The sequence below is a fragment of the Homo sapiens genome, chromosome 13, assembly GCF_000001405.40.
Source record: "Homo sapiens chromosome 13, GRCh38.p14 Primary Assembly".
Taxonomy (NCBI): Eukaryota; Metazoa; Chordata; class Mammalia; order Primates; family Hominidae; genus Homo; species Homo sapiens.
The window spans coordinates 110,890,940-110,907,373 of NC_000013.11; the positions used below are offsets into that span (position 1 = coordinate 110,890,940).

The 16,434-nt window shown below is 37.1% G+C and overlaps 1 protein-coding gene across 9 annotated transcripts in view, besides 1 other annotated feature; it reads right to left on the minus strand.

Moving 5' to 3' along the window:
• The window catches only part of ANKRD10 (ankyrin repeat domain 10), a 36,530-nt gene that overhangs the window by 12,400 nt on the left and 7,696 nt on the right, over positions 1-16,434 (minus strand). For 2 of the 9 annotated variants that reach the window (NM_017664.4, XM_024449380.2), the window contains exons 3-4: positions 15,094-15,185; positions 2,089-2,324 (exon numbers count right to left, since the gene is read on the minus strand). In NM_017664.4, the coding sequence (NP_060134.2) occupies positions 2,089-2,324; positions 15,094-15,185 (328 nt within the window). Of the gene's footprint in view, positions 1-1,752; positions 3,455-9,014; positions 9,756-11,112; positions 12,601-15,093; positions 15,186-16,434 lie in introns of those variants that run through there. The other 7 variants (NR_104587.2, NR_104586.3, NM_001286721.3 and 4 more) reach the window with 7 other exon arrangements.
• Positions 15,489-15,990: an enhancer, noted in NCBI's record as "H3K27ac hESC enhancer chr13:111558775-111559276 (GRCh37/hg19 assembly coordinates)". NCBI's record gives its function as "activates a minimal SCP1, AML or CMV promoter by ChIP-STARR-seq in naive H9 embryonic stem cells {active_cell/tissue: H9 hESC(naive)}" and the evidence as "EXISTENCE:reporter gene assay evidence [ECO:0000049][PMID:30033119]".

Sequence of the window (16,434 nt, forward strand, 5' to 3'; positions counted from 1 at the left end):
AAACAAGGAATCCTCAGAAATGCTTTTCAGGGTAATTAAGCAATGTGGTATTGGCCAATTCAACTGACCTTAGAAACTCTGAGACTAGTTTTACGAACTCTTCTAGGTGCATTTTGAGTCCAATTAGCATGTTAAGTGATCTCTTTTTAAAAATACTAAACAGAATTTAAGATTTATCAGCAATAAGAGAAAATGAAGCATAAATCATTTTTCAAGGACATTTAGACTATACAGTGACATACAGGGACAGACATGTACAATTCGTGCATGAGGGCATGAGGCCACTCTACAATACTAACCAGGCTTTAATTAAAGGAAATGACAAAGGATTTTTTTAAAAAGTGGATGCTCTTAAAAAGGCGTTGAAACTACATTAGAAAAAATATATTAAAACATGGTACAAATAAATGACAATGCTGAATACATCACCATTAAAAAAGACCATTTTGAATTTTATGCAGATCTTCATGTCATGCTTATGATTTTAGCATCTTTCCAGAAATGCTTAACTCATAAAAATCTTGAATTTGATAAAACTGTTAAGTTCATACATTACTATAAAAAGTCTTATCACAGGAATTTTTATGGTGACAAGATATAGTTGTGAAGTACATAATACTGACATTTTATCAACTTTATAGGGAAAAAATGTTTCACTTGGACACACTCATTAAATAAGGTAGAAAAGATGATGTTGGTTCATGAAATTTAACCAAAATCTCTAGATTTTTAAGTGATTAACTGATAGTCACTCAGTTTTCCTTATGCTGTAACTTGCACGGTTGATTTTTTTAAACCAACGGGCAAAACTTTGTGCTTATACTCAGCAAATCTGAGCTCATAATCTGCTTCATTACTTCACACTCCCACCTCTCCCCCTAAGTTCACTAAATATGCCTGCCAAGCTATCACATTTACCTTCTTATTAAGACTTTTTTTTTTTTTTTTTTTTAAATAGAGACAAGGTCTCACTATGTTGCCCAGGCTGGTCTCGAACTCCTGAGCTCAAGTAATCCTCCTGCCTCAGCCTCCCAAAGTGCTGGGATTACAGGTATGAGCCATGACAACTGGCCTAAGACATCTTATATATAGATATAGATGATTTTCCTATAGGAAAGGGAGATGTTTTCAACTTCAAGAGTGACTGGCTGACTGCTTATTTGCAAACTCAAACCTACCTTAAAAACAAAAAACAAAAAACCCAAAAAACGGCTAGGCACAGTGGCTCATGCCTGTAATCCCAGCACTTTGGGAGGCCGAGGCAGGTGGCTTACTGGAGGCCAGGAGTTCAAGACCAGCCTGGCCAACATGGTGAAGCCCCTTCTCTACTAAAAATACAAATTAGCCCAGTGTGATAGCATGCACCTGTAATCCCAGCTACTTGGGAGGCTGAGACAGGAGAATTGCTTTAACTTGGGAGCCGGAGGTTGCAGTGAGCCGAGATCACAGCATTGCACTCCAGCCTGGGTGACAGAGCAAAAAAAAAAAAAAAAAAAATGGTGGGAGAATACTTACAACGAAAATAACTTACCTTAGGGACTTAAATCCTCAAGATCAAATTATACACCAGATCTTGCTGTGATAAGTCAACACACATGTGAGGTACAGAGACCACTGAGGTCAAATCATAGTACAGAAATAGTACAGAAAACATTCACCTTCCCGAATGTGAAAATGTTTTACTGCCAGACCATCAGCAATTTTTATAAGCCCAGGAACATTTACAAGAAGCAAATTAAAAAAAAAAAAAAATTCAGGCACAGTGGCAGATTTTCTTTAATAGATATATTTCAAACAGATACAACAAATTAAAAAATCTAATTCATGGCAGGTAAACATGGGTGCTCAAAAAGTTCCACATAGACATTTACACTTGGGCCATCAGTATTTCCCTCACATTCCCTTTTGTTAAGTCCCATCTTCGCAGTGGCAGTACAGGAGAAATCTCCACCGTCACCGCACAATCCACCAGGCGCATTACCACCTGAAGTGAAGGTCTCATCTCGAAGGTGCGCTCAGCCATAAAAAGAAAACATATTACAGAAAGGAAAAATAAGTGTGCTCTTCCCACCCGCAAAGCGGTCTCACCTTCAGTTCTAGCTTTCTTTACTCCAAAGTCTTCTGAGTCTTCCAAGCATCTCTTTCGATTTGTTCCCACACTAATATGATTAGGAAATACATTCTGATGACCCCCATTTAAGATGCCATTGTTATAGAAATGGTTCAGATGACAATTCTGGAGGTTCAAGAGAAACTGGGCACACTCTTGGAAACCCTGGGTTTGTGCAATGTCTGCTGCTGTCAGGCCACTGGCATTTCTCAGGCTGTACAACACAAAAACACTGAATTACACCCCATCCGCGTGCTAACCTGGTCTCTGCTCCTGCTGAACTGACTAGCTATCTGAAGGTGGTATGAAAGAGTAAACAAATTCATAGCAAATCTTCATTAAAGAAGTAGTTAATCAATCTAGCTCTGTAACTAACTTCTCTTATATACATTTGATTTCTAAGCAAGATTTGGGAGATAAACTAAATATGCTAAACTTCTAAAAAAGGCATCTTCCTATTTAACTTCTCAAAATCATGTTTTATGTTAGTCTGAAGAATCTAAATTTACGCTAACTTCAGACTTGAAACTGAATTCTATATTATATGCACTTAATTTTAATACCCATTCCTTTAGCGTGAATAAAATCATAACAAACAACATGTACTGAGATTGTCCATGGCATTCATAACTGTCTTCCTAAAAACAAAGCAATGGCTCACCAACGAGCCAGCCTTCATGCTTACATGTGACACTGTAAGTGGAAGTTTAGAAGGATGTCCTGACATTAAAAAGTAGCCTATCATCAGATTCCAGAGCTGAACAGCTGTGTTTTTCTGTCAGATTTTGATTGTTTTGGCCTTGCTTGGGAAAACCTGCAGGAGTATTGTATTTTTGGCATTGTAGAGCATTTGAGTAGTTGGTTCCTTTAAAAAGGCTTTGAATACTGTCCTAAAAACTCATCCCTACCACTCACAAGAACCAAAGTTTTACCTGGCTAATAGTACTAAAAAGGAAAGGTCTGAGACCTCTACAGTAGCTAAAACTCAGATTCAAGTAGGAAGTGATGGCAGAGTAAGTGAAAGAGCTGAATAAAATAGAGTAAGTTGAACTTGTAAACCTTTAGACACTGAATTAAAACTGAGGGATCAAAAGTAACTCCATGTTGAAGTTCCCCTGGAAGACAAGAATGTACACTGCTCTGTGAAATAAACCTGTAAAAAAGCAGACATCCTGTTAGCTGCAGGTTGATAAACAAACGGGAGAAGTACTTAACAGCAAAGACAGCTTCCATACCTGTTCAGCAAGCTACACTACATCCACAGCAAAAGCATGATGAAATCAAGGCCTTGTGCTGTGTCACTCAAACAACCACTCCAGAACCCTGATGCCTTTCTTGGGGTTACTGTTAATGCAAAAAAAAAAAAAAAAAAAAAAAACCCCGCATTTGAGAGTGAAAACTACAGAATTAGGGACAAATAATATTTTCTTATTTATAAGGACTGACAATAGCCTTGTATTCGTTATTTGCAGACATCATAGAGCTCTGACCTTGGAAATGAGAAGTGTGCATGGACACTAGCTAAGCGTCTCTACTTTTTAAAGCATAAGATAAATGCATTACACCTTTTGAAAAAAGACCCAAATCCTATCTGATCAGAGATAAAAGAGAATTGAGAATCTCAGAAACCAACAAAATTCTTAAAAATATAAGGCGGCTATGTGCAGGACTATTACAGACTAAAGTCACTATTTTTATTAGCCTTATTAAGACTGCATGGCTATGAATGGCCATGAGTATTTTCTAGTATTGCATAATATTTTTATTTTGATATATGAATTAAATGAAAAGGAAGCACCAAAGTTTGGGCAGATTGTATTACATTAATTATACTTTGTACAAAATCAGATCACCTTGTTATTGAAATAGAAAATATACTAATATTACGTGACAGCTTCATCATATAGCTGGACTTTTTTTTAATGGTATATTTCACTTTCAAAAGATATCAGAAGTGCAGATGACCTGGGAGGGTCTATTCTGTCAAGAATGTGAACAGAAAAATAAGTTGCCACATGAAAATTCAAAAACTCTTCAAGGAGAACATAAGTTTACAAACTGATTATTTCTATAGATAAGCATAGACTTGCTCTCCAAAATCAAGAAACAGAGAAATGAGAAGCTACCACTTAGTATTAGGACAAATAAAAATATGAAATAAAGCCCACAGTAAAGATTACTCTTTAGTGGACCAGAGAATAAAAAAGAGCAAACAGATTTTTGAAATGGCACTTAGAATCATAAATACCATGCTGGGCACGGTGGCTCACGCCTGTAATCCCAGCACTTTGGGAGGCCAAAGCGGGTGGATCACCTGAGGTCAGGAGCTTTGAGACCAGCTTGGCTTACATGATGAAACCCTGGCTCTACTAAAAATACAAAAAATTAGCGGAGTGTGGTGGTGGCACATGCCTATAGTCCCTGCTACTTGGGAGGCTGAGGCAGGAGAATCGCTTGAACCTGGGAGGCAGAGGCTGCAGTGAGCCGAGATCACACCACTGCACTCCAGCCTGGGCAACAGAGCAAGATTCTATCTCTAAATAAATAAATAAATACCAATTCGCTGAGGGAAGTTTAGATGCTCAAAGGGCATGCCAACATTCTGAAATTGTTAAAAGAACATCCAAAGCACATTCGATTCCTTTATTCCTTATTCAGAAGCTGAAGACTACACTGAATTTGGGTTAGAACAGCAAGTTTACTGATCTTCCAAAGAAATATAACCTTATAGAAAAATAATCAACAAAATAGTGCCAACATATGGAGATTCCTGGAGACTGAAGTTTCAGAGTGTCAGCCTACACATAGGTAGCACTGGTAAGCTCTCCCACTTCACTTTTTCCCCTGCCAAAGGTAGTTAAATACGTGCTTGTCCTCTACTTAGACCAACCAAATTTCCATGTGGTCTTAGGTATTATCTCAAAACTTACTTTACTAGAAGAGCTCAAAAGACGGATTCTGGCCCAATCATGCTATGTACTCGTACGTAAGGACCAAGGAAGCAAGAACAATCACAGGTCAAACAACTTCTAGCATCTCACATAATTTTGGGGCACTAGAAGGCAGACATGATGGGGAGGTGAAAAAGTTCTAGAAATTGTATTGGACAGGTATCGGAATCTAGGACACATGGTAACTGGAGGAATTACTTAGAGGAGACTGTAATTTTGCTCTACATTTAAGTGGCACTATCTATGCAGCATTATCGGAAACAGAAATATCCAGCACCCTTTCTCTGCTTCTAGTGAGGTACAAGAACATTTCAATTCTATCATTTTCCTTGTTACCAAGGGCTGAATGTATACAACATACAGTTTAATTTGTTAGCATTTATATTCTACTCAGAGGAAATCTGTTGGTACCTGACTCAGGAACACAACACAAAATGACACCACCATCTCTTGCCCCTGAAAGTCCTCATTCTCATTTCCTCTCCTTACCTACATTCATCATCTCTACTATCCCTGCTCACATTAAAAATCTTGCAAGTGGTCACTCAACTGTGTAGTGCACATTATAGAAATTGGCCTGAAATGATCATTAAGGATCATCTAATCCAGAAGGCACTTTTCTAAAAAGGACTATGTAGTAATTATTTTAGACTTTGGAGACCATACATTCTCAGTCCTAACTACTCAATTCTTTTGTTGTAGGCTGAAAGCAGCCTCAAGGCAATTGAGCATGGCTCTCATAAAGCTTTATTTATGAACACTGAAACTGAAATTTCATCTAATTTTATGTATTAGAAAATATTATTCTATTGATTTTTGCTCAACTATTAAAAAATGTAGAAACCATTCTTGGGCCATAGGTTATACAAAAAAAGGCAGCAGGCCAGAACTGCTGAATAACATTTAACCAAATAGATGATACTGTAAATATTCCTCTATCCTTTATTATGGGGTACATTGTAAATTCCAATACAATGTATAGGGATTAAAAAAAACCAGCATAATTGCATATGCATCACCTCAAACACTTTCCATTTGTACTGAATTAGCCATACAAAAAAAATAAAAAATTACTGTTAGTCACCCTACAGTGCAAGGTAACACTAGAATTTATCTTTCCATCTAGTAACCACTGTTTTTTAAAGAGACAGAGTATCTCCCTGTTGCCCCAGCTGGAGTGCAGTGGCACAATCATAGTTCACCACACCCTGGAACTCCTGGGCTAAGGGATCCTCCTTAGCCTCAGCCTCCCAAGTAGCTAGGTATACAGGCATGTGCTACCATGCCTGGCTACTTTTTTTTTTTTTTTTTTAATTTTGAGAGATGTTGCTCAGGCTGGTCTCAAACTCCAGGCCTCAAGTGATCCTCCCACCTCAGACTCCTAAAGCACCGAGATTAGAGGCATGAGCCACTCTCTACTTCTATGAGATCTTTTTTACCTTCCACATAAGTACAGTACATGGAGTATTTATCTTTCTGTGCCTGGCTTACTTAACATAATGTCTTCTAAGATCATACATGTTGCTGAGAATAACAGAATTTTGTTTTTTTAATGGCCAAATAGTATTCCACGGGGTATATATACCACATTTTATCTGTTCATTTGCTGATAGACACAGGTTGATTCCAATCTTGGGTACTGTGAATAGTGCTGGAACGAGCATGGCAGGTGCAGATGTCTCCATATATGGATTTTCTTTTGGATATATACCCAGTAGTGGGACTGCTGAATCATATGGTAGTTCTATTTTTAGTTTGTTCAGGAACCTCCATACTCTTCTCCATAACGGTTGTACAAGTCTACATTCCCACTAACAGTGTTTAAACGTTCCTTTGCCTCTGCATTCTCGTCAGCATTTGTTACTGTCTTTTGGTAACTGTCATTCTAACGGGGGTAAGACAATCTCTCATTGTGGTTTTGATTCTCTTTAGAACGAATATTTCTCCTCATTCCTCTACTCTTAATAATGGATTTTCTGAAAAACATCTATTAATTTTATGCACTATTCAATTCAAACAACTTTTTAAAAGTTGCCAAATCTGTCACAAAATATTAAACAACAAGAAAAATATCTAAAGGTAAACTTGAGAGGGGTGTAAAACAAAAGACTCTGAGAGCGCACTTAGCTGTAAAACAATCATTCCTATTCCTAAATTGAGTGTTTTTGGTTACATGTTCTAAGTGCCTTACAATAAACCAGGCAATGTGCTTTATCTGGAGAAAGGGAGCCCTAACTTCAAAGTTTGAGTTCCTCCAACTTTTTTAATAGTTAAATTTCAAGTACGTTAGACTGAAAATAATTTGGGTTTCCAAGTCAAAGATTAGAACAAATAATCATTAAAGATCATAAAAGAAGTTCAGGTCTTTAAATTCTATTTTCATTTGTTAACCAATATTTCAGTTTTCATGTTTTAATTGCTAAAATTCAGTAGGAGTTGAGCACGTAAATGAAACACTTGATTTACAGGTTCTGTGTTTCCATCCACACTCAACTCTAGTACTTACAGTACTTTGTTCTGTCACAGTACTTTTTAAATACTCCATCCTTTACCCTTCAATCCACAGGTTTTTTTGTCTGTTTGTTTTAAACAGGGTCTCACTCCCATCACCCAGGCTGGAGTGCAGTGGTGCAATCACAGCTCACTGTAGCCTCGTCTACCTCCTGGGCTCAGGTGCTCCTCCCACTTCAGCCTCCTGAGTAGCTGGGACCACAGGTACACAACACCATACCCAACTAGTTTTTCTTTTCTTTTTTTTTTTTTTTTTTTTTTGAGACGGAGTTTCACTCTTGTTGCCTAGGCTGGAGTGCAATGGCGTGATCTCGGCTCACCGCAACCTCTGCCTCCCAGGTTCAAGAGATTCTCCTGCTTCAGCCTCCCGAGTAGCTGGTATTACAAGCGCCCACCACCACACCCAGCTAATTTTTTGTATTTTTAGTAGAGACGGGGTTTCACCATGTTGGCCAGGCTGGTCTTGAACTCCTGACCTCAGATGACCCACCCACCTCAGCCTCCCAAAGTGCTGGGATTACAGGCGAGAGCCACTGCGTCCAGCCATTTTTTTTGTATTTTTTATAGAGACCGGATTTCACTCCACAGGTATTGACTTAGTGTATTACATGACCATAGGCACTAACTGCTGGCCACTCCTGTCAACCTCAAGTGAGGTATCAGTAGTAAAGTTCATCCGGACTGTGTTTACACACTATTCCAAAGGGAAAATTAAAGTATCCAGAAGAGTTTAAAGAGTCTCAAAAACTATTTTGAATGCAAACTGGTAGTAATGAAAGTGTACACATTATTTTCAGATGAAATCTTCAAAACAGACGCACTTTTGAACTTAGCATCCCCAGTTTGATGCACCTGGATACATGGGCTGTGCCTGACCTAAAACGTGTGTCTGTTCGTTTCTGAAAATAGGACTGTGTTGTTCTACAGCTATAGCCTACCTCCTTGGTCCTCTCCTACATCCATTTGAAAAATCTTTGAAAATGGGAAGAGATTTTTAAAACTCAGACAACGGTCAACTTGAGGTTCAAACTGGTTCTAGTTTGAAGTTCTAAAATTAACTTTCTTTAAAAGAAACTCAGCATGATCAGATTTTTAGGCTAGCAAGCTAAATGTGCTGCAATGTACTGTGGAAACTACGATGACTGTGCTTTTATCTATAAATTCAATCTCCTGTAACATTCACCAAGACTACGAAAAGCAATCACTGAGCAGGCCACCCATTTTCTCTCTACTATTCTTTCAAAACAGGAATATTAAAATGTGGTACAACACAGAATCATCTTTACTGTGAATTACATGTTCTGCTAAGTAACTTGCAAAAAAAAAAAATCAAACTGGCAGTAACTTTACTAAAGATACAAATGCTTATATGCTATATTTTCTTATTCTGAATAGAATATTAAAATTTATTACCTCTAAGCCAAGCACAGTGGCTCAACCCTATAATCCTGGCGCTTTGGGAGGCAGAAGCAGGAGGATCACTTGAGGCCAGAAGTTTGAGACCAGCCTAGGCAACACAGGAAGACCCTGTCTCTTCAAACACTCAAATTTATATCTAAGAATTCTCCCCCAAAGAACTTTCACTAAAATTTATATCTAAGAATTCTCCCCTAAAGAACTTTAAAAATTAGGCTCCACTCTGAAGCCAGCCAGGGTCCCACCAGTTTCCACTTATAGTGCCACAATTCCAGAACAAAGGAGAAGCCATTCTGATGAGAACGACTTTGTTTCAATTTTGAAAAACCACGGATCAGGAAATACCTGAAGTATAATTTTTAGAATCCGAGTTGTCACATCACCTTCAGGATGTTTTCTTATTGTTAATGCCATGTGACAATAAAAGATAACAATTTTTATATAAATAATATTTCTGTTAAAATTCTGATCTCAACTTAGCTATTGTTAGTTTACAAATAGAAAGGTAGATATCATAAATTAGGTAAGCAAAGCATGCAAATCTAAAGCATCTCTATCTGAATTCCTAGATTAGCGTTAAAACCAATCACCGCAACAAATACCTCAACAGTATGCCTCGTGTGCAGAAAGGAAGCGATACTGAACATTCAATGCCACAACTGTAAGGTTTTCGGAGAAGCACCTGTGGCAGTTTCAGCAGTTTCTATATGGAATGCTCCCCCTTTCTAGGATTACTTGAAAAAATCAAGTCAATTCGAATTACGTAGCTGTAAAACATTGACATGTGTAGTTTTTACAGATTCAGAATCTTCTGTGTGATTTAAAACGGGCAATGGTTCATAATACAGGAAACTTAAATAATAAGGGATCACATATTTGCAGGCAACATTTGGATTAAAAATACATAGACAACATAAGGTGCAGAAGCACACTGAGCTTAAGCCATTGTCATGTGACCACCTTGACCATGAGCTACTGCTCTAAAACACTGCCTTTTAAATTACCTTTGGTAATTTTTTAGCATGAAGCCAATTTAAATATGTCAATATTTCAACATAAGTTTAACAGTATGGACTAAAAACCATCAACTCACGATTCTGGTTACTTTAAAATTTGGTATGCTGTATCTCAAATACATTAGTAACTATTCCTAGATGGAAATAAGCAAATACATGGAATCATTAAAAAAAGATAAAAAACATTACTAAATTGTCCATTTGTAAAGATAAAACATTAGCAAACATCTAAGATATCTTCAGCAAAAGAAATACATGTGTATTTTTAACCCTTTGGTATCCAAACTCTTATTTAATTATGAAGACTTTCTTAAATATATTCTTCAGTTAATAATAGGAAGAAACTATTTTTAAAGAGTTTCTACCTAAATAAATTTGGTGCCAAGTTTTCAAGTTTAAAGTTACTGAGAATAGTTTTACACTGCAATTGAACCAAAATTATGTTTTCAAACATTAAAATGTAAAACCATCATTCCAGTAGTCTGATGAAATATTTAGCATGCTCCTGCTATAATTTAGCAAGGGAGAAAGACATTTGGATTTAGCAAACACTGGTTTTATTTGAAAGCACTACCTATAAAAGTAGTAAGGAAATTATTAAAATCTGTATTTTAATCAAGCTGCTATGAAAAACAATCAAAATTCTGAACAATTTCTTAACAAGTCTAGAATGATATCAACCCACTTACTGTCCCTTTCTAGCAGGCAGAACTTAATAACTATCTCAGGAACTGATTCCTCCATCCTGAAACACCTTAACAACCGGAAAATAGCCAAGACCAGACAAGTCTGCTGTGGGGACAATTAGATAAAAGGAGGCTGCACAGTGGCTCACACCTGTAAACCCAGTGCTCTGGGAGGCCAAGGTGGAAGGACTGCTTGAGCCCAGGAGTTTGAGACCAGCCTGGGTAACACAGCAAGACCCCATCTCTACTAAACATTTTTAAAAATTAGTTGGGCATGGTGGTATGTGCCTATAGTCCTGGCTACTCAAGAATCTGAGGCAGGAGGATCACTGGAGCCCAGGAGTTTGAAGTTGCAGTGAACTATAATCATGCCACTGTACTTTAGCCTGGACGACAAAGGGAGACTCTGTCTCTTTTTAGAAAAAAAAAAAAAAAAAAAAAAGAGGAGGCAAAAGTAGGATGTGAGGATGACTAGAATTCAGAGGACCTAAAATCAGAAAATATGAATTCAGAGTCATAATTCTGGTAGATTTTGTAACTGAAATATTATTCTGATGGGCAAAAAAATGAACAAATATAAAGAAACCACGAATTTCAAAATGAATAGCTAAAAGTAAATCTAGGTTACATTTTGCTAAGGGCAAAAGTCACAAATGAATTTAACACTAATATTAAATATGCTCATCACCTGTATTTGACCTAATGAAAATCTGGTTTCTAGACAGGGCTCTATGGTAAACAAAGGTGGGTCATAAATGGTCAATTATGATCCAAACTAAGACAATTCCATTTTAATTAAAATTTCTTTTAATTAAAGTGAAGCAGTATTCTTTGTGGCATTAGAATAGTCTACTAACATCACATTCTAGGCTTTGTTATAGCCAACTGTGCCTACTTCCTAAACTAGGCAAGAGAGACTTTTCTAGAGTGAGTCACTGAATTTGCTTATATAAGGCTATCGATGCTTCTCAAGCTATCTGATGATCCCAGTTAAGATAAAAATAATTAAGTTAAAATACATGTAGCCCAGCTGAAAATCTGGTTACCACAGAATAAATGGCTTCTCAAGAAATCCTCTCCTGTAGAAAAGTTCTGAGACTCTGCCATTAAACACTGGCATCCGTATAATGCAGTATTAAAACGGACCTACAAATCTGCCTGAGATGCAAGTCATGCTGGTTTCATTCTAAATCTTTTTATTTCTACTCAGTGGCAAAAAGCTATTTTACTAGCTGGTTGATATGGAAACATCCTCCACTTATCTCTCAAGAAAATAAACACAAATCAGCCAAAAGTAATTGGTACCAAATTACTGAAAGTACAGCTATTCCAAGGCCCGAATTCTATTTACAATGCTAGTAGTGAAAAGGTCTTCTTAATTATCAGCAGACAGCAAGTTTTCAAGTCTTTTTCCAAAATCACATTAAGACTTAATGTTATGCTGTTATTTGTTCCATCGTTCAAAAGAAAAATGAGATGACAATCTTTTTGTAATAGTATATCCTCTTCTTCCAGTCAATACCTGAGTACCAAGCAAGCAGCACTCAAATATTGGGGGCAGTGGAAAAATGGAACTACCATATAAGCAAGATTAAGGATGGTGACAACTTCACGTGCTTGCTGAAAACTCCATACACAGAGATTTAGGTCCTTTAAAGTACACAAACATTTAGTTTGGTCACAAGTTAGATTTAATCCTGTGCGTTTTAATTTTTAGATGTAAACAATGGCAAATAATAATGACCAACATATAAGCCAGAAACAGAGCCTCACACACAGAAAACTTGGCACCAAAACTCAAGATTTAAAATAAGAAAAGAAAAAGAAAGTCCATTAACATACTCACGTGTGGTGCTAGAAAATTTAATACGATGCACAGCAGCTGAAATGCGTTATCTTACAGATGCAACCTACATTAACAAGTAAGTTATATAACAAACCATTCTAGCCACAGACACTTAGTGTACTTGCCCTTATTATTATGTACCTGATGTCCAAAAAAGCACAACAATTTAAGACTTTGGGCACTTTATGTAGCAGATATATAAAAAGCAAAGCAGGAATTAAGAGCAAATGAATTTAATAATACTGATATAAGGCAGCTTTTAATCTATTCACAGGAAAAGGAAAAATTTATATTATCTCCTAAATATTATAGCATGTAATATGAAGAGTTAATAATCTCGTCCATTCTGAATGAAAAAAACTAACTTTAAATAAGTTAATTCTATGCTCCTTGAACGTCTTAAAAAAAAGAAACGGTTATGATTTGCTAGGACTACACTTTACCATATGAGCAGCGTTACAGGGAATAAAATAGACCTAGTACCATTATTTTGGAGATTCAAACTGTTACACGTTGGTGGACTAAATGGGGTAAATTATTAAAATGTGCAGAAATCAAGAAGCAACTTACAAATTAACTTACTGACAAAACTGACATTTTATCTCGATGTTAAAACTAAATAACCACATATACAATAGCAATGAATAATGATTACTTGTGCTCTATCTCCAGGCCAAAGGCTTATAATTGTTTTTGGCTAGGTAGCTCAGGCTAAATACTTCTTCTAAAAAAAATATGAAAGCTCAGTCCAGGGAAGTCACCATAATGCAGGGTCTTGAGTGGTGGCTCTTATACTGAGAAGGAAAAACAGACTGGCACCTGAGCCCATCTCAGCCACACCTGGTGGAAAAGAGACACTTGAGGGCCCTGTAACCAAGGACAGAATTGTAAATAAAAGATTCTCATTTTTTAAAAGACACCTACTAAAAAAAAAGGACATCGTGATATTTATTGGCTGAAAAGATTAAGCTATCCATAAAATGAATAAAACATCTTTGTAATAAAATGTTCAGGACCAATTAGAGTATTATTTAGAAAGTCATTAAAAATATCAACTTCTAATTATCCACTGTTTGAATAAATGACAAGCAATTTAATCATGTTATGACTCCGTATTTTATAATGAAAGTTTGTTATAAAAATTAGAGTTTTAAATCTAACTACAGCTAAGAAAAATGCACAAATAACTTTGCTTTAAAGCAATCCACTGAGAATCATCTCAATGTTCTACTAGTATATAAAACATACTATCAATTGTTTCTACATTACCTTTAGTCACAACTATACATGAAGTCGCGAGAGTCCCTGCAATGTAACAGTAAACAGAGGCCATGTTTATAATACCAGATCACTATATAAGGATCACAGCCCAAACTAATGGCGAATCTTGCCAATAAACTTAACAAAACAGAAGCTAAGCTATTCACAGATGATTGACAGCCTCCGGTACCTACACACGTCGTGCATTAGCCTGTATGGTTTTGCTGTCTAGGATCTATTTTCAATATAATACAGAGTCAAAGCAATGAAATGGAAACCAAAGGGTTAAACTAGTTTTGTGGGTTTTATTTCCTCCGAAGTCTAAATGTTCACATTTCTGATTAGAATAATGTGGTTTATAATTAATTTTCATGAATTATTCATAACACTTAAGGTAAAACAAAAAAGCTGATATTGGTTATTTTGGTTATTATAGCTCTATAGCTTACACTCAACATTTAAGGGTGAAAACCGCATCCATTTTGTTAATGCTGTGAACTGCAGAAGAAAAATTTTTATAATATAAATTTTTAAGAAAAAGTTAATACAAATAAATGTAACAACTAAAATAAATGTATAATGCCATGGCTAATGATTTGCATATAAGATCTCATTTCTAAAAGACTACACGTAAACATTAAGATTGTCCTATCAAAGCATAAATAAGCTAACTGATGTAAGCTGGGCTAAAACGAAAGATATTTAAAAATAATGCCACCAGTACCAGAAGCTTACAGCAAGCTTGAGGTCTTTAATGTAAATAGTCATATTTTACAAGGAACTATCAACCATTAAGTTACAATGGGCTTTAAAACATAACTTTCTCACATCTGCTAAGACGTGGAAATCAAAACCTAGAAAAGTGAATTTTCTTCAGAAACCTTCTGAGCCAGAGAGGTCTGAAAAGATATTTTAATCCAATCCAAGCTTCTTGTTTTGAAATCAAAATTAGGCAAAGAAAAGTTTAAAGACCACAGTGACACAACTAGTTAGTGGCAAAGTAATGGTGGCAAAGTAATGATGCCAAGTTCCAAATCTAATTAGTTAACTGTTCTTTCAGTTCAAATACACTCTCTCGACAAGAATATTGAGGCTGCTGTGAAATTAAACCCCCTCCTCTAGAGATCAATTTAATCCACACAATTTTCCTCACTAACACCAACTGTTCTAAAAGGCAAAATTACATTACTAATTTTGAAAACAAAGTTTTAGGACTTTTGCCTGCTTATGTACTGCCTTTAAACAAAACATCCTCAACTACATCTTTAGCTGGAAAGAATAAACGAAAGACACTTACTCGACGTGAGCCCCATTCGCCACAAGGGCACTGATGCATTCTAGGCTCCCAGAGCGAGCTGCCTTGTGAATGGGAGTTTCACCCTCACAATCCTGAAACAACAAAAAGCAAAATATACACATACTTAGAACAAAACTTCTGACATTTTGGAAGTAATGTCATTAACACAGATCAGAGACCTTCTCATCCTTTTTTGAAGTAAAACATGTTGAGCAAGATCTGAAGCAGAACACAAAGAAATCTATACGTGAATGGAGGATGAGAACGAACCAGGAGGGGCCAAGATATTTGGTCGTTGACCAAATATCTTGGGGCCTCTCCAGTAGTGACAGCGTGATTGCTCTCAACAGTGATTTATAAATCACTTTACACTGGATCTTAGCACGTGTGTTTTATATAAACCCAGAATAAGTAACCAAACAAACAAGCCAACCAACCAACCACACACACACATTAAAACGGTCATCAAGGCCAAGAAATAGCACATAATAGCTGACATATGGTCTCAGCTACCCACTTTCCTCTGTGCCTACCCCAATGCTAACCCGAGTCAACATCATCAATGCCGATCTTGAATCTTCTGCTTTGAACTTGAAGTGGGACCACAACTTAGACAAGATGGCTTGAGGTTCAACAGTTGATCTATTTTTCAGTATTTACTAGAGGGAATATTTACTAAATATTCCCAATCTATTTTCAGTATTTATTAGAGGAAAGGGAGAAGAACACAAAGGTAAAGCAAACCAAGCTTCATAAGAATGAAATTCCTGGTTCAGAAAGTGCAGAGGGGGTGGGGTGGCGGCGGTGGGGAGGTGAAGCACACACAGAGGCAGAGAAAAGTGAGCAGACCCAGGAAAGCCACTGTGAACATCAGCAGTCAACCCAGGTCTACACTGCATGAATGAAACAACCTGAAAGACCATCTTCATAGGCTATCAGCTAAGCAAGAGAGGGGAAAGGCAATCAGACACAGCAATCAAGAGAAGAAAGTGCTTTCCGGTGGAAAATGAAGACTGGGAAATCCTGGGGGCTCCACAGCAACACTTCTTTTTTTTTTTTTTTTTTTTGAGACGGAGTCTCGCTCTGTCGCCCAGGCTGGAGTGCAGTGGCGGGATCTCGGCTCACTGCAAGCTCCGCCTCCCGGGTTCACGCCATTCTCCTGCCTCAGCCTCCCAAGTAGCTGGGACTACAGGCGCCCGCCACTACGCCCGGCTAATTTTTTGTATTTTTAGTAGAGACGGGGTTTCACCGTTTTAGCCAGGATGGTCTCGATCAGCAACACTTCTTGAATACTCACACTGCAACCTCACTGGAAGCTGAACTGCGCAGACTACCACACAA